Source organism: Homo sapiens, chromosome 11 (assembly GCF_000001405.40).
Source record: "Homo sapiens chromosome 11, GRCh38.p14 Primary Assembly".
Lineage (NCBI taxonomy): Eukaryota > Metazoa > Chordata > Mammalia > Primates > Hominidae > Homo > Homo sapiens.
Genome location: NC_000011.10, coordinates 108,072,626 through 108,097,986, shown reverse-complemented (window position 1 = coordinate 108,097,986; position 25,361 = coordinate 108,072,626). Strand labels below are relative to the sequence as shown.

General features: G+C 38.7%; 1 protein-coding gene across 6 annotated transcripts in view; it reads right to left on the bottom strand.

Annotated features, from left to right (window-relative positions):
* CUL5 (cullin 5) overlaps positions 1 to 25,361 on the bottom strand; it is a 98,864-nt gene that overhangs the window by 9,775 nt on the left and 63,728 nt on the right. For 5 of the 6 annotated variants that reach the window (NM_003478.6, XM_017018363.3, XM_005271682.3 and 2 more), the window contains 8 exons: positions 24,490 to 24,597; positions 19,747 to 19,811; positions 9,328 to 9,460; positions 8,364 to 8,495; positions 3,473 to 3,596; positions 3,000 to 3,175; positions 2,296 to 2,457; positions 233 to 351 (listed from right to left, as the gene is read on the bottom strand). In NM_003478.6, the coding sequence (NP_003469.2) occupies positions 233 to 351; positions 2,296 to 2,457; positions 3,000 to 3,175; positions 3,473 to 3,596; positions 8,364 to 8,495; positions 9,328 to 9,460; positions 19,747 to 19,811; positions 24,490 to 24,597 (1,019 nt within the window). Of the gene's footprint in view, positions 1 to 232; positions 352 to 2,295; positions 2,458 to 2,999; positions 3,176 to 3,472; positions 3,597 to 8,363; positions 8,496 to 9,327; positions 9,461 to 19,746; positions 19,812 to 23,920; positions 24,188 to 24,489; positions 24,598 to 25,361 lie in introns of those variants that run through there. The other variant, XM_011543013.3, reaches the window with a different exon arrangement.

Here is a 25,361-nt window from a genome sequence, read left to right as displayed (position 1 = left end):
AAGATGAAATGCAATACAGTATAATGTCAGAGACCAAAAATGTATCAATGAAAAATATAGAAAAGTAAACATCTGATTAATATTTTCCATAAACAACTAAATGATGTAAGTTTAGAGTGATGACAGTATATAATGTTTTAAATATAATGTAAGGAAAACAATTATTTTGCAAAAAACAAAGTGCTAAAATTCAAACAAGGTGTTTTTATTTTAGATCAACTAACGAGCTTACATTAAACTGAACTCCTGGTTCACTGAGAAGAGGGTACCTTCTGTAAAGTCTTTGGGTGAGTTGACTTGAGGTTCATACAACAAAACTTGCCGTTTGAGTTTTGGGAAAGCTACTAAAGACTATGAAGAATAAGGAGAAAACAATTAGCATCTATAAACAGTATGGAATACTAAGATCAATTCTCCCACATAATCAACATAGGCAAGAAAAAGATTACAAACACAAACTTAAAATGTGTGGTACTTCCATGAATATAACATTTGAATGCATAATGAGGAAAGAGAAGAGGTGAAAAGAGTTGGTTATGAGAAAGCAATAAATGCTCTCTTTACAGTAAGACAAGAAACTGGGATTGGTCACACAGGACCATAGTAAACACCATCTGCCAGTTATATACCAGCTATTTCCTCCATAGGTAATAATTAATTTTGGAACTTCAGGCCAAGTGCAGTGGCTCACGCCTGTAATTCCAGCACTTTGGGAAGCTGAGGCAGGCAGATTACTTGAGCTCAGGAGTCTGAAACCAGCCTGGGCAACACGGCAAAACCCCGTCTCTACTGAAAATACAAAAATTAGCCAGCGTGGGGCATGCACCTGTAGTCCCAGCTACTTGGGGGGCTCAGGTGGGAGGATCGCTTGAACCTGGGAGATGGAGGTTGCAGTGAGCTGAGATTGTGCCACTGAACTCCAACCTGGAGGACAGAGCAAGACTCTGTCTCAACAAAAAAACCTGGAACTTTTAAGAGGTCTATGGAGTAGTAATAAAATGTAGTTGTGAGCAGGGGGCTAATGAGTACAATCTACAAGTCCTCAAACAGACCAAAGTTTTTAGATTTTTGATTATCATAAAATCTTTGAACACATTCTCAGTATAAAAATTAAGTATGTATCTGAGGCACAGTAGCTCAGGCCTGTAATCCCAGCATTTTGGGAGGCCGAGGCGGGCAAATTACCTGAGGTCAGGAGTTTGAGACTAGCCTGACCAACATGGTGAAACCCCGTCTCCACTAAAAATATAAAATTAGCTGAGTGTGGTGGCACATGCCTGTAATTCCAGCTACTTGGGAGGCTGAGGTAGGAGAATCGCTTAAACCCTGGAGGCGGAGGTTGCAGTGAGCTGAGATTGCGCCATTGCACTCCAGCCTGAGCGACAAGAGTGTCTCAAAAAAAAAAAAAAAAAAAAAAAAAAAGTACATAGCTGGTCACATTCCTCACAGGTAACACTTAAATACCAACTCAATCTTTCTCTTTTTTAAAAAAAAAAATTTTTGAGATGGGTCTCACTATGTTGCCCAGGCTGGAGTGCAGTGGTGTGATTGTGGCTCACTGCATCCTCCTGGGCTCAAGCAATCTTCCCACCTCAGCCTTCCAAGTAGCTGGGGATACAGCCACCAAGCTGGCTAATTTGTTTTTTTTTTTTTTTTTTAGAGATGGGATTGCACTATGTTGCCTAGCTAGTCTCAAACTCCTGAGTTCAAGCAATCCTCTTCTCCCACCTTGGCCTCCCAAAGTGCTGGGATTACAGCCATGAGCCACTGCCCCAGCCTCTCCTTTTTTTTGAAGCACTTTTCTCTGCCTTGGTAACTTGCCTATTTGCAATTTATTTTTTCCATAAATATCTCGTGTGTGTGTGTGTGTGCATAATTTTTTTTTTTTTTCAGACGGAGTTCTCACTCTGTTGCCTGGGCTGGAGTGTAGTGGCGCAATCTTGGCTCACTGCAACCTCTACCTCCTGAATTCAAGCGATTCTCCTGCCTCAGCCTCCCAAGTAGCTGGGATTACAGGCGCCCACCACCACGCCCAGCTAATTTTTGTATTTTTAGTAGAGATGGGGTTTCACTATGTTGGCTAGGCTGGTCTCGAACTCCTGACCTCAAGTGATCTGCCCACCTCGGCCTTCCAAAGTGCTGGGATTACAGGCGTGATCCACTGTGCCCGGCCTCTATTTTTCTTGATAAGACATTCTGAAACTGTTATGAATTTACTAATATATTACAAGCCAATCATATATTTCCTGCTACATGAGAGGATACAGTCTTAAAAACAAAAAAACATAAACCAACCCATAAAGTCCTCCTAAGTTCAGCATCAGGGAGTTCAGTTGCAAGCTTAAGATTTTCAAAGCTGATTTTCTCTCTGGGTCTTTGGTTCCATGCAAACAATACAGCGAGCTGAAACGTGGTTACCTCCAAATCATATTGACCAACTTCATTCTTAAATGTTATCTATAATAGATAAAACAGATTTTTAATAAAGAATCTCATGATGATTCTCTCTTAATATCTATGACATGAATTTATATATGAAAAAGGTTGCTGTCTTCCAGTATCCACTCTTTCACAGTAATAAACATTTTAGAAGACGTTAATGACTGCCCAGAATACACGCTCATCTCCCAGCTTTCCATGTAACAAAATGTGGCCAAGTGACTGAGTACTGGCGGATGCAAATGGAAAATGACAGAGGAAACTTCTAGAAGTTGTCCCTAATGAAAGGTGTAAGCTACCCTCACCTTTTGCTTTCTGTTGCCAGGAATACTGAGATAGTTGGGATCATGTTGAATTCTGTAGACAACGGCAGTATCTTAAGTATGATGGTATAACCAGAAGCCTATGTCCCTATCAACTTCATGAAAAAAATTCACTATTTCTGCTCAAACTTTTACATGTGAGAGAGGCAAAAATCTATTTTGTTTAAGCAATTCTGCGGAGTCCTGCTACTTTCATCCAAACTGAAAGCTGAAATAACTAACACACTATCTACTTACAATTCCATTTGACATGAGATGATGCCAATGTAATTTTCTACCACTATGATTTTTTTTGTAGAATTCTTCTACTTCCGGTATCAAGTCCTCCAGTTCAGTAGGAAGTGAGACAAAGACTTTCTCAGAACTTCTTGACCAGGCGCCAGCATTCAGAATTTTTATATTAACTGAATCAGCTATAGAGAAGAATATCAGGAATATAAAGTAAATTAACAATGGATAAAATTCAAAATAAATACAGGGTAACTTTGGGTGAAAAATCAATAAGACTATAAAGATTTTGTTAAAAGTGTCCTTTTGTTTTGAAATAAAGATCTGTAAATCTAACACACTGCTTTGATAGCTGTCTCCACGGAAATGGACTTCATAACATCTTTCGATCTATTACTGCTGAGGTTTATTTTTAATTTACTGGAAAACAAAGATATTCTTCTAAGTTTAAAAAATATATACATGTAATTATAAAATAATACCTGGTAATGCCAATTTATTATTTTTGTGCATTTCCTTAAAAGCTTGGTTCAAATCTTCAGATACTTTTATGTCCTGAAACATTCTAGCAAGCTTGTTTACATAATCCGCTGGCATACCAACTTCCTATAAATATAAACCAAAGAAGGAAGAGGTAATAAATACATAATCTGATATATTACTGGGAAAAATTTTAATAGAAAAACTAAGTCTTAAATGTTTTAATACAAAATTTTTCTCATTTATTAGAATTTTATTGTCTAATACCTATGAAATTTGCTACTTAGAAACAAAATACGGTATTACAAGGGGTCCCTGCTTTGCGCATTTTTAGTATGTATGAATTTCAGTTACCACAGTACAGTTAAATAATACCAATTCCCCAAGAACAAAGCTCAACTTTCAGTTGACACTATATAATAAATTTAACTGCATGAAGTAAAAACTTTATTTCTAGCTCTTTGATCCACAAATCATGACAAAAGTAACAATGACTAACCACAATACTTCTTTCAAAATCTATTAGTTGGCATGGTGTGTAATCCTAGCACTTTGGGAGGCTGAAGCAGGAGGATCACTTGAAGCCAGGATTTTAAGACCAGCCTGGGCAACACAGTGACACCCCCATCACTACAAAAAAATTTTAAAAGTTAGCAGGATATGGCGGCATACTGCCGAGATAGTCCCAGCTACTCGGAAGGCTGAGGTGGGTGGATTGCTTGAGCCCAGGAGTTTAAGCTCTGATTGTGTCACTGCGCTCCAGCCTGGGCAACAGAAGATCCTGTTGCTTGAAAAAATTAAATAAATAAATTTTTAAAAAATGTAAACACAACCTATTAGTCATTTGTTTATTCAGTTAAACTGCAGACAGCAAAGTATGCAGTTTCATTGCATCCTTGTCTTCCAGTAATAAACCCACATGACTACTTACAAAAAAGAATAATCAAACAAGATAATTGGCAAAGATATAAAAGTAAACAGGAAATGAAAAGTGATAATGCTGGAAATGAAAATAAAATAGAACATAAATGGAGTTATAGAAGAAAGCTGACTGTGGTAGTAAGGCTGACAATGCCAGTGTTGAGGAACTTAGTGAAAGCAAATTACCAACATAAAAGATAAAAGTGGTGAGTGACAAAAAAGATAAGATACCCTAGAAGAAGTGATCCTGGCAAAAATGCTATAAAGGAATTCTCAGTATTTCATGACACTGACAGCCCAAAAGATAAAATGCTAGAAGATCATCCAAATTACAGGGGGTGTGACAACTCTCCAAGGCAAAGAAAAGATGCTTACTCTGTCAAGTTACACAAGAAGGCAAAAGCTATTCAAACTACTCTTTATTAACAGCTTTACTGTGTCAGATAATTTATCTACCATAAAATCTACTATTTTAAAGTATACAATTTGGCTGGGCTCATGCCTGTAATCCCAGCACTTTGGGAGGCTGAGGCGGGTGGATCACCTGAGGTCAGGAGTTCAAGACCAGCCTGGCTAACATGGTGAAACCCATCTCTGCTAAAAATACAAAAATTAGCTGGGCATGGTGGCATGCGCCTGTAATCCCAGCTACTCAGGAGGCTGAGGCAGGAAAATCGCTTGAACCTGGGTGGCAGAAGTTGCAGTGAGCCAAGATCGCACCACTGCACTCCAGCCTGGGCAACAAAGTGAGACTCTGTCTCAAAAAAATATAAAAAATAAAAATAAAAATAAAATATACAGTGTAATGAAGTTTAGTATATCTACAGAACTGTGCAACCATCACCACTATCTAATTTTAGAACATTTTCATCACCCCAAAAAGAAACCCCATACTATTTACAGTCACTCGTCATTTCCCCTCCTGGCCCCAACTCCTGGAATTTGTGGATTTGCCTATTCTGGACACTTCACATTAGTGGAATCATACGATATGGTCTTTGGGATTGGCTTCTTTCACTCAGCATTATGTTTTCAAAGTTCACCTAATATTGCAGCATGTATTATTAGTTTATTCCTTTTTATCACAAAAAATATTCCATTGTATGGATAAATCACATTTTATTCATTAGCTCACTGACATTTTGGGTTGTTTCCACTTTTTGACTATTATTAGTAATCTTGCCATGAACATTTGTTTACAAGTTTTTACATGAAACATGTTTTCATTTCTCTTCAAATGAATTACCTAAGAGTGAAATTGCTGGGTCAGCTCTACGTTCAACATTTTAAGGAACTGCCCAACAGTTTTCCAAAGTGTCTGCACCATCTTATGTCTCCACTAGCAACTTACGAAGGTTCCAATTTCTCCTCTTCCTTACTAGCATTTGTTATCATCTGTCTTTATTTTAGCTACCCTAGTGGGAATAAAGTAGTATCTCTTTGTGTTTTTTTTGTTTTTGAGAAAGGGTCTCACTCTGTTGCCCAGGCTGCAGTGCAGTGGCACAATCTCAGCTCATTACAACTTTGAACTTCTGGGCTCAAGCAATCATCCCATCTCAGCCTCCTGAGTAGCTAGAACCACAGGCACACATCACCATGCCTAGCTGATTTCTGTATTTTTTGTAGACATGGAGTATTGTTATTTTGCCCAGGGTAGTTTCTAACTCCTGGCTTCATGCAATCCTCCCACCTCAGCCTTTCAAAATATTTGGGATAAGCAGGAGCCAACATGTTGAGCATTTCACTTGCATTTCACTAATGACTAATGATGTTGAGTATCTTTGCATGCACTTATTGGCCATCTGTCTATCTTCTGTGAAGAGATGTCAATTCGAATCCTTTGCCTGCTTTTAATTATTTGTCGTGTGTGTGTGTGTGTGTGTGTGTGTGTGTGTGTGTGAGTGAGAGAGACAGGATCTGACTCTGTTGCTCAGGCAGGAGTACAGTGGTAAGATCTCTGTTCAATGCAACCTCCACCTCACAGGCTCAGGCGATCCTCCCACCTCAGCCTCCCAAGCAGCTGGGACTAAGGTGCATGCCATCACACCCAGCTAATTTTTTAAATTTTTGTAGAGATGGGGTTTCACCACGTTGCCCAGGCTCATCTCAAACTCTGAGCACAAGCCATCTGCCCTCCTCAGCCTCCCAAAGTGCTGGGATTACAGGTGTGAGCCACCATGCCTAGCCTTGTTTGTCATTTTACTGTTGGGTCTTGATATTTTTTTTTTAACAAAGAAATAACATAGGCCGGGTGTGGTGGCTCACGCCTGTAATCTCAGTACTTTGGGAGGCCGAGGCAGGCGGATCACTTAAGACCAGGATTTCAAGACCAGCCTGGCCAACATGCAAAACCGTGTCTCTACTAAAAATACAAAAATTAGCCAGGCGTCATGGCACAAACCTGTAGTCCCAGCTACTTAGGAGGCTGAGACAGGAGAATTGCTTGAATCTGGGAGACAGAGGTTTCAGTGAGTCAAGATTGCACCACTGCAATCCAGCCTGGGTAACACAGCAAGACTACATCTCCAAAAAAAAGAAAAAAAGAAAGAAAGAAAGAAAATTTAATTCTAAAGGTTTCTCGTAGTAAATATGTATTAGTTTTGCTATTTTCCCCTTTTTCCTATATACTTATAAGTGACAGTAAGAGTTTTGAGTCTTTTGACAATAGTTTTAAAAAGTCACAGAATAATCATTCTTTTTCCTACTAAGCAGTTTCAGTTAGCACAGTAATTTTTACTATCCTAAAGTTCCATGCGAAGGGCTAGCTATAAGTTAAAATATCTGTAGGTCTCTCTCGTGTGTGCTTGCTCGCACTCTCTCTCTCTCCATATATATGTGGAGAGAGTTATATACATACACAGAAATTAAAGATATTTACTTTAATAATTAAAACAAAAAAAGAACTCAAAATACTTTATATGGGAATTTAGTTATAATCAGCATTGATTACCCTAAATAGGCCATCATTTAAAGGTTCTTTTTGCTATACAGAAGTATTTATTGTTATCATTTATAAACATCTCTAAAGTTAAGCATTTAGTACTGAAAATACCTTAAAGATATAATAATTTGTCCTGCAGTCTATTTATTTATTTTATTTTTCTTGAGATGGAGTCTTGCTCTGTCACCCAGGCTGGAGTTCAGTGGCTCGATTTCAGCTCACTGCAAGCTCCGCCCCCCAGGGTTCATGCCATTCTCCTGCCTCAGCCTCCCAAGTAGCTGGGACTACAGGCCCCCCACCACCACGCCTCGTTAATTTTTTTGTATTTTTAATAGAGACTGGGTTTCACTGTGTTAGCCAGGATGGTCTCGATCTCCTGACCTTGTGATCCACCTGCCTTGGCCTCCCAAAGTGCTGGGATTATAGGTGTGAGCCACCGTGCCCAGCCCCTGTAGTCTATTTATTAATAAGGTCAGTTTAAATGAGAGTTGAGGTACAAATGGGAGTGAAACAGTAGAAACAACTCAAGAACAAAGATACTTTACTGAAAGTATTAAGAACATTTATTAGATATCACTTTATTTTATATAATTGATGGTATATTCTTTTTTTTTTGAAATGGAGTCCCACTCTGTTACCCAGGCTGGAGTGCAATGGCACGATCTTGGCTCACTGCAACCTCCACCTCCTGGGTTCAAGTGATTCTCTTGCCTCAGCCTCCCAAGCAGCTGGAATTACCGGAGTGCACCAGCACATCCAGCTAATTTTTGTATTTTTAGTAGAGACGCGGTTTTGCCATGTTGGTCAGGCTAGTCTTGAACTCCTGACTTCAGGTGATCCACCTGCCTCGGCCTCCCAAAGTGCTGGGATTACAGGTATGAGCCAGTGCGCCCGGCCTAACTGACGCTATATTCTTATAAAATGTTTCCTACTTCTTTGACATTAACAATATCTCCAAAATGTATTACTTAAGCACACATATAAATGATGTAATGTATTAGAAAACCAAATATTTAAAAAAATTTACTTACTCTTAGCCACTCTACCATGTTTTCTTCAATTTCACTATCGGCAGAGATGTCTAATATAAGACGTCGTGTCAAATGAGCTTTATGATACCTCATAAAAACATCTTTGTTCTGTACATACTTAAGTACCAAGAGCTGTATGAAAAATAAAGTTACTTTCAGTTCTTATATACTCTTACCATCTCTCGAATTTAGACCTTTCTATATCCACCAATTGTCACAAGTCAGAAACTTTTATGAGCATATACAGATAGAGGCCTACTGAATTATCCATCTCTGAGAAATACCCAGTCCTGATACACTACTTTAAAGGTTAGCAAAACTGAGACTATAACCAAATTGTTAGTCGGTCTAAATATCAGTTTTTTAGATTTTGTATAAAATGCAACGATATACTTTACATGAAAAAAATCAATGTCCCCCTGCAAAGTGTCTCTTCTACTTATCTTTTTCACTTTTTTTTCTGACACTAGTCATCTCTCTCGGCCTTTCTGTCTACACTTGCCCAATATCTTATTTTTTTTCTTGTTTGTATTCCTGGGCTTACATCATTACACTAACAACTGGGTGACAAAGATGAAAACAACTACTTAATCTACTCTCATTCATCCCTTGCTATCTATCTTGGACTCTCACAAAAAGGAAGGAGTGAAAAACTCCCAATCTGTCAACTATCATTCCAAATTTGTTGGAATGATATGTCCTGTATTAGTAGCTAGAACTTAATTCCTAAAAATAACCAAGAAAGGAGAGGAATTAAATGGTATTCCTTTCAAGAAGCTGTAGAATAAAAATTTTCAGAAAGAAAAATAACCCCCCGAGAGGTCTTGCACTGCAAATCTTCGTAACATTAGTTCTTTACAGATAATACATTTTTAAATTGATACTATCACAGAAAGTCCTATAAGCAAAACACAAATTCAAAGTAAGGTAATTTTAAAAGTTGAAATACAAAAAATTCATGTACCACTTCTTTAAGCTTTGCTTCAATCTCTTCAGAGGTTAGTTTTTTGCTTAATGGTGTTTTTCTTAGCAACATGTCACAGTAATTGGCAAGCAGCTCAGGGCATTTTGATTCAGGCTGAGTTTTTAATCCCACCCTAAAAAACAAATTAAAAGCAGTTGATGGAAAAATGATTAATGTTTGCAATTATTTTTTTCTAAAGTCAATGATTCACAAGCGAATTTCTCATGTTAAATAATCTAGTGATCAGGTTTGGAACTAGGATAAGCAAGCATCCTAGGGTGCCTAATTTAGGGAGGCACTCACTTTTACGTTCCCCTAAGTGCTGATGCTGCACTTGCAGAATCCTGAGAGTAAGAACCTTCTTCAATTTTGCACTCTAGGTGCCTTCTTGCCTCACCCTAGTGCTGACCTTGGCAATGATAATTAAAATTTTTTTTCAGAAATCTGTTAAAATACTTTAGAAAAACTGTTAAATTCTTGGATATTTATGTTAACATTTAAAACTTTTTATGATTAATATATTAAAACTGTTATTTCACTCTTTAAAATGTATCCAATATAACCTACATTCCATAATGATGATATATATACCATCATGCATTAAAAAAAAAACTATAAATGAATTCTTCCTAAGCAATAAAGAATTTGTATCTCCATTTCACTTTCCTGATACAAATTTTTTTTTAGTTTTTTTGAGATGGAGTTTTGCTCTTGTCCCCCAGACTGGAGTGCAATGATGCCATCTTGGCTCACTGCAACCTCTGCCTCTCGGGTTCAAGCGATTCTCCTGCCTCAGCCTCCAGAGCAGCCGGGATTACAGGTGCCCGCCACCATGCCCGGCTAATTTTTGAATTTTTAGCACAGATGGGGTTTTGCCATGTTGGCCAGGCTGGTCTCAAACTTCTGACCTCAGGTGATCCACCTGCCTCGGCCTCCCAAAAAAGTGCTAGGATTATACGCGTGGGCCACCGCACCTGGCTCCTGATAACAATTTAAACAGAGCATATTGTTTTTTTAAAAAATAACTGAGACACAAACATACACAAATTAAAAAATTTTTTAAATTCAGACAAGGTCTCACTATCTATATTGTCCAGGCTGGACTCCTCCTGAGTAGCTGGGACTACAGGTGCATGCCACTGCACCCAGCAGTATATTGTATTTTCATGCTTGAAAGTCTTACATTTATTTTTTAATCCTACTTCTCTAAAAATATATGTAAATAAATTTAAATTGAAGATTTTGAAATTTCTTGTGCTTATAAAATTCAAGTATTGTTTTCCAAGGATTGAGCTATCCAAATTTTAAGTATACAAATAATCCAAACAACAATTACATCGTGCATACACATACATAAAATATATGCATATGTAAAATTTTACTGGATGCATCAACTCTTAGTGGGGTGGATGAAACTTTTTTCCTCCCAATTATAAATCCAGGAATCAGCATAATTTCTTTTATTTGTATAAATGTATGTCTTTGCCCTGAGAAGTCTTATTCACATAAATAAGTAGATGAGACTAGAATATGTTTTTCTTATTATATCATTCAATTATTTGAACACCTCCTGAGCCATTTGCAAAACAAAAAAATCCATACTGATCTAATATTAAAATTTATTTTTAATGATCCATCTTTAAAGAATGGCTAACATCTACCAGTTAGGTGAGGAATGAAAAAAATAAAATAAAAAGAGAACACAAAAATAATAGCTAACATCAATTGTGCTGAAAGCAAAGAAGTAGAAACTATCTGACTAGGATCTGATACCTAACTCATTAAAAATGAATTCTATGTACATCAATACCAGTATTTCAAAATATTCCTGTCTTAGGCCATCTGAAGGCTGCTACATTCTGAGGCAAAGCACCACAGTAAGAATCAAGAGAGGTATGCCTTTCTTTGCAAACTGGGAATGGGTAATTGTGAAAGAAACAGAAAGGAAAAACTGCTGTGATACTTCCATCACAGGGTGGAATTTTAGAAAAGAGTGAATGTGGAAGTTGAAAATTTAGAAATGGATTTCCCTTGAAAGTATCCATACTGGCATGCTCTAGGGAAGTCTTTCTGTATTCCCTTAGGTAGCCATACTCCACTAACTTAATGAGAATCCATCCATCTCTCCTTGCAATGCCTGGCTCAGGTGTGAACTACTGTAACAATCAAAGTGATCTACCTCCCTCCTTCATTCAACCTATCAAGAGGACAGCTATCAGTTTTTATTTTTGTTTTGATATGGACATCTAGATACATTGCTCAGGCTGGTCTTGAACTCCTGGGCTCAAGCAGTCTTCATTCCTCAGCCTCCCAACTAGCTGGGATTACAAGCTAGCTATTAGTCTTATATTGTTACTTTGAAGGTAGTGTGTTATTTTTCCCCCGTGGCTGTTTTAAAAGTTTTATTATTGTTTTCAGTTGTAAGCTGTTTTACTATGATGTACCTAGGAATGGTTTAATTTGTATTTATCCCACTTGGGATTCACAGACACCCTTAAATCTTAAATCAATTTTGGAAAATTTTAGTCAATACCATTTCAAATATTGGTTAATACCCTCTTTTCTATGCTCTATGACTCCAATTATATATGGTTTTAGACACTTTCTTTCCTCAGATAACAATTTCCATCTATCCATTAATATGTATTATATCTTCATTGCTATTTATTATCTAAGCTTATTAATAATTACTGATATATAATTCGCAAACCATACAATTCACTCACTTAAAATGTACAATTCAGTGCTTTTAAAGTATATTCAGAGGGTTGCGTAATCATCACCATAATAAAATTTTAGAACACTTTCATTACCCCAAAAAGAAACCCCACACCTGCCAGCAGTCAAATCCCATTCTCTAGCTATCCTCCTCTCACCTCCCAGGCCTGGGCAACATCTAGTCTACTCTATGGATGTGCTGATTCTGGGTATCTCAGATAAATGTTATCATACAATAAGTGGTATTTTGTGACCCACTTCTTTTACTTAGCATCAAGTTTTCAAGATTCATCCATGTGTCACAGCATGTACCAGTAGTTCATTCCTTTTTTAACACATATCTTTTACTAAGAGTAAAAAAGATTTATCATTTTAATAATTTTTAAGTGTAAAATTTAGTGGCATTAAGTACATTCACAATGCTGTACAAACATCACCGCTATCTATTTCTAGAACTTCTTCATTATCCCAAACAGAAATCTTGTATACATGGAACAGTAACTTCCCATCCCCCCCTTCCCCATCCCCTGGTAACTTTTATTCTACTTTTTGTCTCAATGGATTTCCCTGTTCTTGATACCTCATACAACCATATTCATGCAAAATTTGTCCTTATGTGTCTGGCTTATTTGAATCACCATGTTTTCAAGGTTCATCTACCTTGTAGCATATAGCAGAATAATAATTCATTTCTTAGAACTGAATAATATTCCACTGTATGGATACAGCATACTTTGCTTATCTATGCAACTAATGGATATTTGGGTTGTTTACACTTTTTGACTATTAAGAGTAATGCCACTCTACTATGAACATTTATGAGCATGTTTCTGAATGAAAGTATGTTTTCATTTCTCTTTGGTATACACCTCAGAGTAGAACAGTTGGGCCATACAGCAACTCTGTTGACCTTCTTTTGTTTGTTTTGAAAGGCTAGTCAAGTGAAGCAGTGGGAGTGGAGAAGGAACAACTACATCTGTAAATGGTTGTGATTAATTAGTTGTAAACACCACTGCACTTGGACCAGCCTATGTTGAACTTCTTGAGGAACAACCAAACTGTTTTCACAGCAGCTGTGCCACCAACAATATGATTCCAATTTTTCCATATCCTTACCAACACGTGTTATATCTGTCCTTTTTATTTTAGTCATCCTACTGGGTATGAAGTGATAGCTCATTGTGGTTAAGCTATTAATCTTAATTAATTAAAGTCCTTATGTGCTAACTCCAACATCAGGATCACCTGAGATCGCTTCTAAAATGATTTTTCTTTTAGTTAAGTCATTAATTTATCTGTCTTCATAGGACTAGTAATGTTGTACTGAATACTGGACACTGTATATATAAGAATCACACAAGAACAAGATGATGTTATCTTGCATTAAGAATGGGTTCATCCTTTGCTATGAAAGGGAATCAGTCCATCTCCAGGGTTAGCCACTGAATCGAAGATATGTCCCTCCTGGACTTTCAATTCAGTGTCCAATGGGTTTTGTTACTCCAGTCCTGTGTGACCACCAAAACATCTACTGCCCCCCAGCAGTATTGCTTAGCCTAGGCCAAAACTACATTCTCAGCTGCTGCGTCTCCTTAGGGAAACACAGTTACAAATCCTCAAGTAACCTCTGAAAGGTTTATCTGGCATTTCTGTACATTTCAATCCTTCGTCATAGCTGTTTCTATAGCTCTTAAATAACATGAAATTACTATTTTTTACATTTACCTGATTTTCTAGTTGTTCTCAGCAGCAGCACTGGTCTACCACAAACTACTCCACTCCTCCTCAGAAGCAAGTCTCCCAAATAACTTGGATGCTACTATCAGTTTATTCTTCTAAAGCAGGGGTGTCCAATCTTTTGGCTTCCCTGGGCCACACTGGAAGAAGGACTGTCTTGGGCCATACATAAAATACACTAACACTAATGACAGATGATGAGCTAAAGAAAAAAAATCGCCAAAAAATCTCATAATGTTTTACGGAAGTTTACAAATGTGTGTGTTGGGCCACGTTCAAAGCCGTCCTGGGCCGCATGCAGCCCGCAGGGTTGGACAAGCTTGTTCTAGAACATCACCTCCTCCACACCTCCAATAGCCACACCACCTATTCTACTGCCTGGATCAGCTAATGATACTTACTCTACTCCACAGAAATTTTCTACTTTGAGACAGGGTATCACTCTGTTGCCCAGACTGGAGTACAGTGGTGCCATCATAGCTCACTGCAGCCTTGACCTCCTGGGTTCAAACAATCCTCCTGAATAGCTAGGACTACAGGCACGCACCATCATGCTCGTCTAATTTTTAAAACATTTTGTAGAGATGGGTCTCACTACATTGCCCTGACTGGTCTTAAACTCGTGGCCTTAAACAATCCTCCCACCTTGGCTTACCAAAGTGCTGAGATGACAGGCATGAGCCATGGCACCCAGCCTAGAAATGTTCTACTTTAATGTGGAGCTAAAAGTAGGACATAGTCACCTTAGAATCAGAAAACTAAGAGAAACCCAGCAATCCTCACTTCTGGGACTCTATCTTGTAGATAAAGATTCACAAATATTCAATGTACAATATTATCCTCTGTAGCACTAACAGTAATAGCAACACATCGGAAACTACTTAATGCAGCAGTAAAGGACCAGTTAAATAAGCTATAGTATATCTACCAGACAGAGTGCCAAACTGCTATTCAGCATAGTGAGGTTATGGAAAACCAACATAAAACAATATAATGGCAAAAGACTAAGAGTGAGCACCCTAAAATCAGGAATAAGACAAGGATGCCTGAATTCACCCCTGCCATTTGTTACTGTAGTAGACGTTCCGGTCAGAGCAATTAGTCAGAGAAAAGAAAATAGAACCAAACTGGAAAGGAAGAAGTAAAAGTATTTCTATTTGCAGATGTCATGATCTTATATACAGAAAAGCTGAAAGAATCTACAAAAAAGGTATCTGAGCCAATAAATAAACTGAGGAAAGCTGCAAAGTACAAAATCAACACATAAAAATTATTTGTGGTTGGGCATGGTAGCTCATGCCTGTAATTCTGGCACTTTGAGAGGCAGAGGCAGGAGGCTCACTTGAACCCAGGAATTCAAGACCAGACTGGGCAACACAGCAAGACCCTGTCTCAAAAAAAAAAATTAGCCGGGCATGGTGGTATGGCCCTTAGTCCCAGGTACTCAGAAGGTGGAGGCTTGAGCCCAGGAGGCGAAGGCTGCAGTGAGCTGTGATCATGCCATTGCATTCCAGCCTAGGTGACAGAGTGAAACCCTGTCTGAAAAAAAAGAAACAGAAAAAAAAATCAGTTGTGTTTTTATACACCAGCAAGGAACAATCCAGAAGAAAATTAAGAAAACAATTCCAGGCTGGGCATGGTAGCTCCTGCCCGTAATCCTAGCACTTTGAGGGGCTAAGGTGGGAGAACCACTTGAGCCCAGGAGTTCAAGACCAGCCTGGTCAACACAGTGAGAGACTGTCTCTACAAAAAATAATATAGCCAGGTGTGGTGGCCTGAACCTGTGGTCCTAGCTACTCAGGTGGCTGAGGTGGGAGGATTACTCGAGCTCAGGAGGGCAACACTGCAGTGAGCCATGATTGCGCCACTGCACTCCAGCCTCGGTGACACAGTGGACCCTGTCTTAAAAAAAAAAAAACAGAAAGAAAGAGAGAAGAAGGAAGGGGAAGGGAAAGGGAGGGAAGGGGAAGGGGAAGGAAAAGAAAGGAAAGAGGGAGGAAGGAAGAGCAATTCAATTTACAACAGCATCCAAAGAAAATACCAAGGAATAAATTTAACCAAGAATGTGGAAGACTTGTACACTGAAAGCTGTAAAACACTGCTGAAAGAAAAACAAAAAACAAATAAAAAGAAATTCCATTTTCATAATTGGGAGACATAACATTAATACAATTCAATGCATTTCCTATCAAAATTCCAAAGGTCTTTTTCACAAAAATGGAAAAGCTGATTCTCAAATTCATATGGAATTAGAAGGGAACCCAAATAGCCAGAATGATCTTGAAAAAGAACCAACTTGAAACATGCACACATCTTGCTTTTAAAGCTTATCGCAAGGCTACAGTAAATCACAACGATGTGGCACCAGCATAAGGACAAATATATAAACCAATAGAACTGAACTAAGCATTCAAAAATAAACACATACATCATAGCCAACTGATTTTTTTCTTGAGACGGAGACTCGCACTCTCACCCAGGCTGGAGTGCAGTAGCGCCATCTCAGCTCACTGCAAGCTCTGCCTCCCAGGTTCACACCATTCTCCTGCCTCAGCCTCCCGAGTAGCTGGGACTACAGGTGCCCGCCACCACGCCTGGCTAATTTTTTGTATTTTTAGTAGAGACAGGGTTTCACCATGTTAGCCAGGATGGTCTCGATCTCCTGACCTTGTGATCTGCCCGCCTCGGCCTCCCTAAGTGCTGGGATTACAGGTGTGAGCCACCACGCCTGGCAGCCAACCGATTTTTGATAATGGAGAAAAGACTGTTCAATGAATGCTGGAACAATTGGGTATCCACATGCAAAAATATGAAGTTAGAGCTGTATCTCACACCATATACAAAAGCTAACTCAAAATGGATCAATGACTTAAATGTAAAAGTCAAAACTATAAAACTCTTTCTTGTTGTTGTTGTTGAGACGAAGTCTCACTCTGTCACCCAGGCTGGAGTGTAATGGCACGATCTCGGCTCACTGCGACCTCCACCTCCCAGATTCTGACGATTCTCCTGTCTCAGCCTCCCAAGTAGCTGGGATCACAGGCATGAGCCACCACGCCTGGCTAATTTGTTGTATTTTTAGTAGAGACAGGGTTTCACCATCTTGGCCAGGCTGGTCTTGAACTCCTGACCTCAAGTGATCCACCCGCTTTGGCCTCCCAAAGTGCTGGGATTACAGGCGTGAGCCACTGTGCCCGGCCCTATAAAACTCTCAAATAAATAAATAAATAAATAAATAAATAAATAAATAATGATAAATCTTCATGATCTAAATATGAAACCAAACCAAAAGCAAAAGCAACAAAAGAAAAAAATAGGTAAACTGAACTTAATCAAAATTAAAAGCTTTTGTGCATCAAAGGATAGTATCAAGAAAATGAAAAGACAACTTACAGAATGGGAGAAAATATTAGCACATCATCTATCTGATACGGATCCAGTACCAGAATATATAAAGAACTCTTACAACTCAACAACAAAGAGAAAGAATCCAATTAAAAATGGCCAAAAGGGCCAGGCATGGTGGCTCATGCCTGTAATCCCAGCACTTTGGGATGCCGAGGCGGGCAAATCACGAGGTCAAGAGATTGAGACCATCCTGGTCAACATGGTGAAACTCCATCTCTACTAAAAATACAAAAATTAGCTGGGCGTGGTGGCACACACCTGTAGTCCCAGCTACTCAGGAGGCTGAGGCAAGAGAATCACTTGAACCCACGAGGTGGATGTTGCAGTAAGACAAGATCAGACCACTGCACTCCAGCCTGGAGATAGAGCAAGGCCCCGTCTCAAACAACCAAAAAAAATGGGCAAAAGGCCTGGGCATGGTAGCTCATGCCTGTAAGCTCAACACTTTGGGAGGCTGAGGCAGGAGCATCTCTTGAGGCCAGGAGTTCGACACCAGCCTGAGCAACGCAGCAAGACCTCATCTCTAAAAGAAATTAGTAAAGTATGGTGGTGTGTGCTTATAGTCCCAGCTACTCAGGAGGCTGAACCAGGAGGACTGCTTAAGCCCAGGAGGTGGAGGCTGCAGTGAGCTATGATCACCCTTCATAAAGGAAAATATACGAATACCGGAAAAAAAAAAAAAAAAGATGAAAAATTGCTCAACATCAAGAGTCATGAGGGAGACGGGAATTAAAACATTAAGATACTACTACATACATCCCAAATGACTAAAGTTAAAAGAACACTAAACATTGGTGAGAATGAGGGTCAGCTGGTACTCTCATACTCTATTGGTGGAAGTGTAAAAGAGAATAACCACTTTGGAAAGCAAACTACTGTTACATGCCAAAACATAAAAGAATTTCAAAAACACAATGCAGAATGAAAGAAGCTTTACACAAGAAGTACACAGTGTATGATCCTATTTATACAAAGTCCTAGATTAGGCAAAACTAATCTATATTGAGGGAATTAATCAGGACAGCAGATGCCTCTGGAAGGAGGTGGGGTGGGACCGACTGGGAATAGACATGAAGTAACTTTGTACGATGATAAAGACATCATACATGTTAATAGGGGTATAGGCATTTGTCAAATCTGACTCAAATGTACACTTAAGATTTATGCATGGGACAGTATATAAATTTTGCCTAAAAACATAAACATTAAATTCAATAAATGACTGTATGCTGAAGTGTTTAGGGACTAAAGGTTACTGATGCCTGCAACTTCTTTAGAAATACACTTAAAAAGTTGACTGACGAATGTATATAAGGAGATAACATATTTGATAAAGCAACCATAGTAACTCTATTGTAAGTTTGAACATTTTCATTAAAAAAAATGCTTGGGACTGGGTGCGGTGGCTCACGCCTGTAATCCCAGCACTTTGGGAGGCTGAGGTGGGCGGATCACTTGAGGTCAGGAGTTCAAGACCAGCCTGGCCAATATGGCGAAACCCCGTCTCCATTAAAAATACAAAAAAATTAGCCAGGCATGGTGGTGTGTGCCTGTAATCCCAGCTACTCGGGAGGCTGAGGCAGAAGAATTGCTTGAATCCGGGAGGTAAAGGTTGCAGTGAGCTGAGGTCGTACCACTGCACTCCAGCCTGGGTGACAGAGTGAGACCCTGTCTCGAATAAATAAATAAATTAAAATTAATAAATAATACAAAAAATGCTAGGGTGAAAGAGAAGAAGATCTATCTACTCATGTGAAGAGATGGCCAAGATGCAGTGCTATATGTTTCACATATTTCACAGTTTATAAAAGAGAACATATTCCCTTCTAAAATATATCAATATTATAATATGGTATGACTCAGATGTCTTCCACTGTAATATTACTCAAGCAACATACACTGCTCAGAAAAGACAAAATGAAAACACTAAATGAAAAATACCTGATTATTTTTCCTTCTTAAGAAACGTTATTTTTCAGTATTTTTCAAATATTTTAGCATTATATATAAAATTTCTTTAAAATGGTAATTCTTAGCTAGAAGCACATCAAAAGACTTTTTTTAACTAACCTTTATTGCTATTTAGTACTACTCTGAAAGTGCTATAACTAGCTCAGATTCCAGTTGTCAGATTTTCTATAAGCTAGGCTTAGCACAGGCATATTCATCTTACCAATTATAGAACAATTTTTTAAAACGGTAATAGGAAAATTTACATTTAAACTGAGTTCTTTTTATAACATTATGGTAAATTGAGTCATTTTCTCTGCTTCTATGGGTAATAGAATACTTTTAGTGACTAATGAGGGAAAAACAAGTAGAGATCCTAAAAGATTAGGAATATTTTTTTTTTACCTGAAAAAATAAAGTCAATTTTTGTATTGTAAAATAATTTAATAAAAAATTATAAATGAACTTTAATAGCCAAAAGCTGCAAAAGTCACAAAACTAACAATAACAAAAATAAACCTAACAGGGTACTTTGTATACCTAGTTAACCCCTATTACACTAAAGAAAATTTAAGTATTTTTAAAGTATGGTTTTAAAAAACTTACCCCTTCTGCTTCAAAGGTAATTCAAGTTTAAATATGGTAGCATCATTAACAACTGCTTTATACGCCTGCAAAAAATAATTTGGAATAAAATATTTTTAATATTGAAAATATACAGATAAATTTTTATACATCCCAAAACACATAAAAATATGTTAGTTTTTATTTCTAATGGTATATCTGGCCAAACAGAATTTGCCTAGTCAAAGACTTTAGCAAGTTCTTTGTCATATTATAATTATCAATATTCTCAAGTGAGGTTTTTTTGTTGTTGTTGGTTTGGTTTTGTTTTTTTGAGATGAAGTCTCACTCTGTCGACCAGGCTGGAGTGCAGTGGCATGATCTCCACTCACTGCAACCTCCGCCTCCTGGGTTCAAGTGATTCTCCTGTCTTAGCTGGCCTCCTGGGTAGCTGGGATTATAGGTGCCCACCACTACATCAGGCTAACTTTTGTATTTTTAGTAGAGACGGAGTTTCACCATGTTGGCCAGGCTGGTCTCAAACTCCTCACCTCAGGTGATCTGCCTGCCTTGGTCTCCCAAAGTGCTGGGATTACAGGGGTGAGCCACCATGCCTGGCCTCAAGTGAGATTTTTTTTCTTTTTTTTTTTTTGGAGACAGAGTTTCACTCGTTGCCCAGGCTGCAGTGCAGTGGTGCTGATCTCAGATCACTGCAACCACCACCTCCTGGGTTCAAGCGATTCTCCTGCCTCAGCCTCCTGAGTAGCTGGAATTACAGGTGCGCACCACCGTGCCTGGCTAATTTTTGTATTTTTAATAGAGACAGGGTTTCATCATGTTGACTCCTGACCTCAAGTGATCCACCTGTCTCAGCCTCTCAAAGTGCTGGATTACAGGCGTAAGCCACCACACCCAGCCTACACAACTGTTCTTGTTAAAGTCACTGGCAACCTCCATGTTGCTGAAGACAATGGTTTATCTCCATCTTATTTATTATCAGCATTTAAAAACAGCGGATCACACCCTCCTCCTGAAAGTACTTTTTTCACTTGTCTTCTAGCACATAACATTCTCTTGGATCATTTCTCCCTTCTCATGAAAGACGACTCCTCATTTTTCTAACAATGAAATATCAGAATGCCCTAGGCCAATCCTTGGATCTGTCCTCTTTTCTATCTCCAATCATTACTTTGGTGATTAGAGCCTGTGTCAGTGCTTTAAAAACCACTTATATGCTGAAGCTGCCAAACATATTTTTCCAGCTCCATTCTTTCTCTTAAGCTCCAGACTCAACATTACCATATGGATGTTTAACAGATATTTCAAAGTTAACTTATTCAATACCGAGTTTCTGATCTCTCTGCAACCATCTCTCCAAAAACTATTTCTCTTACAGTCTTCCCTATCGCAGTGAACATATCCTTCTAATTGATCAGAACACGAATCTGAGTGTCATCCCTGACTAGTCTCTATCACATTCTACTTCTGATTCAATAGCAAATCCTGAATAGTCTATCTTCATAATGTAATCATAATCCCAGCAATCCCTCTTCTAGGCATATACCCAAAGGAAATGAAATCACCACTTCACAAAGATAACTGCACTCCCACATTCACTGCATTATTAACAATAGCAAAAATATGGACACAACCTCAGCGTCCATCAATGGATAAAGAAACTGGTACATATATATGACGGAAGCCTGGAAGACCTTAAAAATAAGCCAGACACAGGAAGAAAAATACTGCATGATCTCACTTATAGGTAGAACCTAAAAAAAATTCAAATATACAGAAAGAGGAATGAAAGAGTAGTACCAGTGGCAAAATGGGTGGGAAAGAAACAAGGAAATGTAGGTGACATGATACAAAGTAGCAGACACACAAGATGGAAAAAGTCTAGAGAGCTAATGTACAGCATGAGAACTATAGGTAGTAAAATTATACTGGGCTGGGCATGGTGGCTCATGCCTGTAATCCCAGCACTTTGGGAGGCTGTGGTGGATGGATCGCTTGAGCCCAGGAGTTCAAGAACAGCCTGGGCAACATACTGAGAACTCATCTCTACAAAAAAAATTACAAATTAGCCAAACATAGTGGTGCATGCCTGTAGTCCCAGCTACTCGGGAGGCTGAGGTGGGAAGATCACCTGAGCCCAGAGGGGTCGAAGCTCCAGTGAGCCATGTTGTGCCACTGCACTCTCTCCAGCCTGGGTGACAGAGCAAGACTCTGTCTCAAAATAAATAAATAAATAAAACAAAACAAATTCAAATTATACTGTATATTGGATTCATGCTAAGTAGACTTTGGGTGCTCTTGCCACAAAAACAAAACAAAACAAGAAAATGAGTAACTATGTCAGATGGTGGATATCTTTATTTCCTTCACCAGTGAGATGACAGGGCTGAGACAACATCAGTGCGGGTGAAGAGTTCTCAAAGAACATGATTTAAAGGGAAAGGGGGCCAGGGGTGGTGGCTCACGTCTATAATCCCAGAACTTTGGAAGGCTAAGGCAGGAGTTCAAGACCAGCCCAAACAACATAGCTAGATGTTGTCTCTATAGAAAAACTTTAAAAACCTAGCCAGGTGTGGTGGTATGTGCTCACAGTCCCAGAAACTCAGGTGGCTGAGGCGGGAGGATTGCTTGAGCCCAGGAGTTCAAGGCTGCAGTCAGCTATGATTGCACCACTGCACTCCAGACTGGGCGACACAGCGAACTTCCCTGACAAGTCACTTCTAGAGCCTGCTGTCATTTTTATTTTCCAATTCCAAGCCACATACCTGGTGTAACAAATGCTGTCAAACCTTCCCACATCCCTTATACTTTTCCCACTATTAGTATCTGCACATGCACCCAAAGAGCTGTTTTTTCCTAAAACTGCAGAAATATGTGTTGCCTATGCAAGTGGCAGGCAGGAAACTTCAAGAACTCAACACTTGATAGGTGAGGTAATTTTGAGCAGGGTTTTAAATAAGTTTCCTTGCAGAATTAAGTTCAAGTAGCTCACTGTAGATCTGACTTACTAATACGCCACGCTATCGTCCCTGCATTTCCCAAATAAGCTACTTGCATTAAAAAAAAAAAAAATTATCGAACTACTTTTGACCACCTCTACCATCACTCTGGGACAAGCCTCCATCATCACTTAATTGAATTATTTAAATAAGTTCTTAACTGGTATTCTTTCTTCCTTCTTCCCTTCAGTATATTTTTTACAACAGCCAGAATGATCCTGTTAATACATAAATCACATTCTACCATTCTGTTTAAAATTTTTAAATGACTTCCCATCCTACTCACAGTAAAAACTAACTCCTTCCCATGGCTCAGAGTCTTACATGATCTGGCTTCCTATGAAGCCTTTGCAGGCTACTCAATTTAAGACTTCACACCACGCCCACCATGTCTATACTCCCTTAACTCCTTTCCTACTTTACCTACTTATTTGTTTTATTTTTATTTATTTATTTTTTGAGACAGAGTTTCGCTCTTGTTGCCCAGGCTGGAGTGCAATGGCACGATCTCAGCTCACCACAACCTCCACCTCCTGGGTTCAAGCAATTCTCCTGCCTCAGTCTCCTAAGTAGCTGGAATTACACGCATGTACCACCACGTCCAGCTAATTTTTCGTATTTTTAGTAGAGATGGGGTTTCTCCATGTTGATCAGGCTGATCTCGAACTCCCGACCTCAGGTGATCCACCCGCCCTGGCCTCCCAAAGTGCTGGTTACAGGCGTGAGCCACTGCACCTGGCCTATTTACTTGTTTTAAAATAGACAAAAAGAGTCTGGGCACAGTAGCTCAGGCCTGTAATCCCAGCACTTTGGGAGGCCGAGGCGGGCCCATCACCTGAGGTCAGGAGTTCGAGACCAGCCTGGCCAACACAGTGAAACCCCGTCTGTAGTAAAAATACAAAAATTAGCCGGGCATGGTGGTTGGTCCCTGTAATCCCAGCTACTCGAGAGGCTGAGGCAGGAGAATCGCTTGAACCTGGGAGGCAGAAGTTGCAGTGAGCCAAGATCATGCCATTGCACTCAAGCCTGGGCAACAAGAGCGAAACTCAGTCTCAAAAAAAAAAAAAAAAAAAAATTAAAATAGACAAAAAGAGTGAGAAAAAAATCCTACTGGAGAATGGAGAAAGTTGTCTTTTTAGAATCATTCAAACTTGGGAAGTAACGAAAGGTAGTCAAAGAAGAGAAAAAACTAACAGCAATTTCTTGTTATAGGTTTATTACACTAAAAAAGATACAATGCTAAGGACAGTATGGTGTTTTATTATCATTATCCTATACTAGTGAGGATGGAAAAAGATGGTATGCAATACAAATGCTTCCCTGGGAAACAAGGATAAGTATAACATAACTCCCGAAGGAGTCCCATGAAAGGACGGAGGATGGAGGAATCAACTCTGCTGGTGATGAGCTGTGGAGGGAGGCAGGACATCAAGGAAGCTCCAGGGGAAGTATTCTTTGAGCTGGGTCTTAATGGAAGGATGAATAGGAATTCAATAGATCAGTAATATTCAAAAACAGAAAAACATTCTTGGAAAAATGAGAAAAAAGCAACTTTCTAACTAAATTCTAATTCACAAGGCTATCTAATGTTTAACAAATGCTTACAGCCAAGACAAAACGAATATAGTTGTTCTCCACTGATGAAAAATAACAGTTGCTAGGTTTTTAAGTTTATAATTAATAGAAAAATAATGCAAATTGATTATTAGAAGTAAATTATGAGAATAAAACTTTTAAAAGTGTTTTTTATATATATAGGAATATATACCTTATCTCTTGCAGTAAGAAATCGTGGATCATCTTGAAAAGCTTCTTTGACGAGTTTACTAAATCTATTAAATAGTGTAAGTAACTGCTCAACGTATTTCTCAGAGTCCTAGAAACAAAAGGTTTTACATTAAGTTTTTAAAAGAAAAAGAATAACACAAAAAAATGAGAAAATAAACATAATTTTAATAAAACTCATTTAAAACTGGGGATATTTTTTCTTAAAAATAAAACTAAAAGGTGTTCCAATATTACTGTTTTGCCACTTCTTTTTTCTTTCTTCCTTTTTTTTTTTTTGAGACGGAGTCTCGATCTGTCGCCCAGGCTGGAGTGCAGTGGCACCTTCTCGGCTCACTGCAAGCTCCACTTCCTGGGTTCACGCCATTCTCCTGCCTCACCCTCCCAAGTAGCTGGGACTATAGGCGCCCGCCACCCCGCCTGGCTATTTTTTTTGTATTTTTAGTAGAGAGGGGTTTCACCATGTTAGCCAGGATAGTCTCGATCTCCTGACCTTGTGATCTGCCCACCTCGGCCTCCCAAAGTGCTGGGATTACAGGCGTGAGCCACCTTGCCCAGCTCCCTGTTTTACAGAGAAAATAGTAATTTCAATTACTATTTTCAATTTTCAATTCTGTATTTTTAAAAATTTAATGTTTTTATTTGTAATCAACACATAATGGTACATATTATGGGGTACAATGTTATATTTCAATGCATGTATATACTATAATGATCAAATTGGGGTAACTACTATATCCATCACTTCAAACATTTATAATTTCTTTGTGGTAACAACATAAAAAATCTCTTCTATCTTGAAATATACACTACATTGTTACTTGCTATATCCGCCCTAATGGGTAATAGAACACC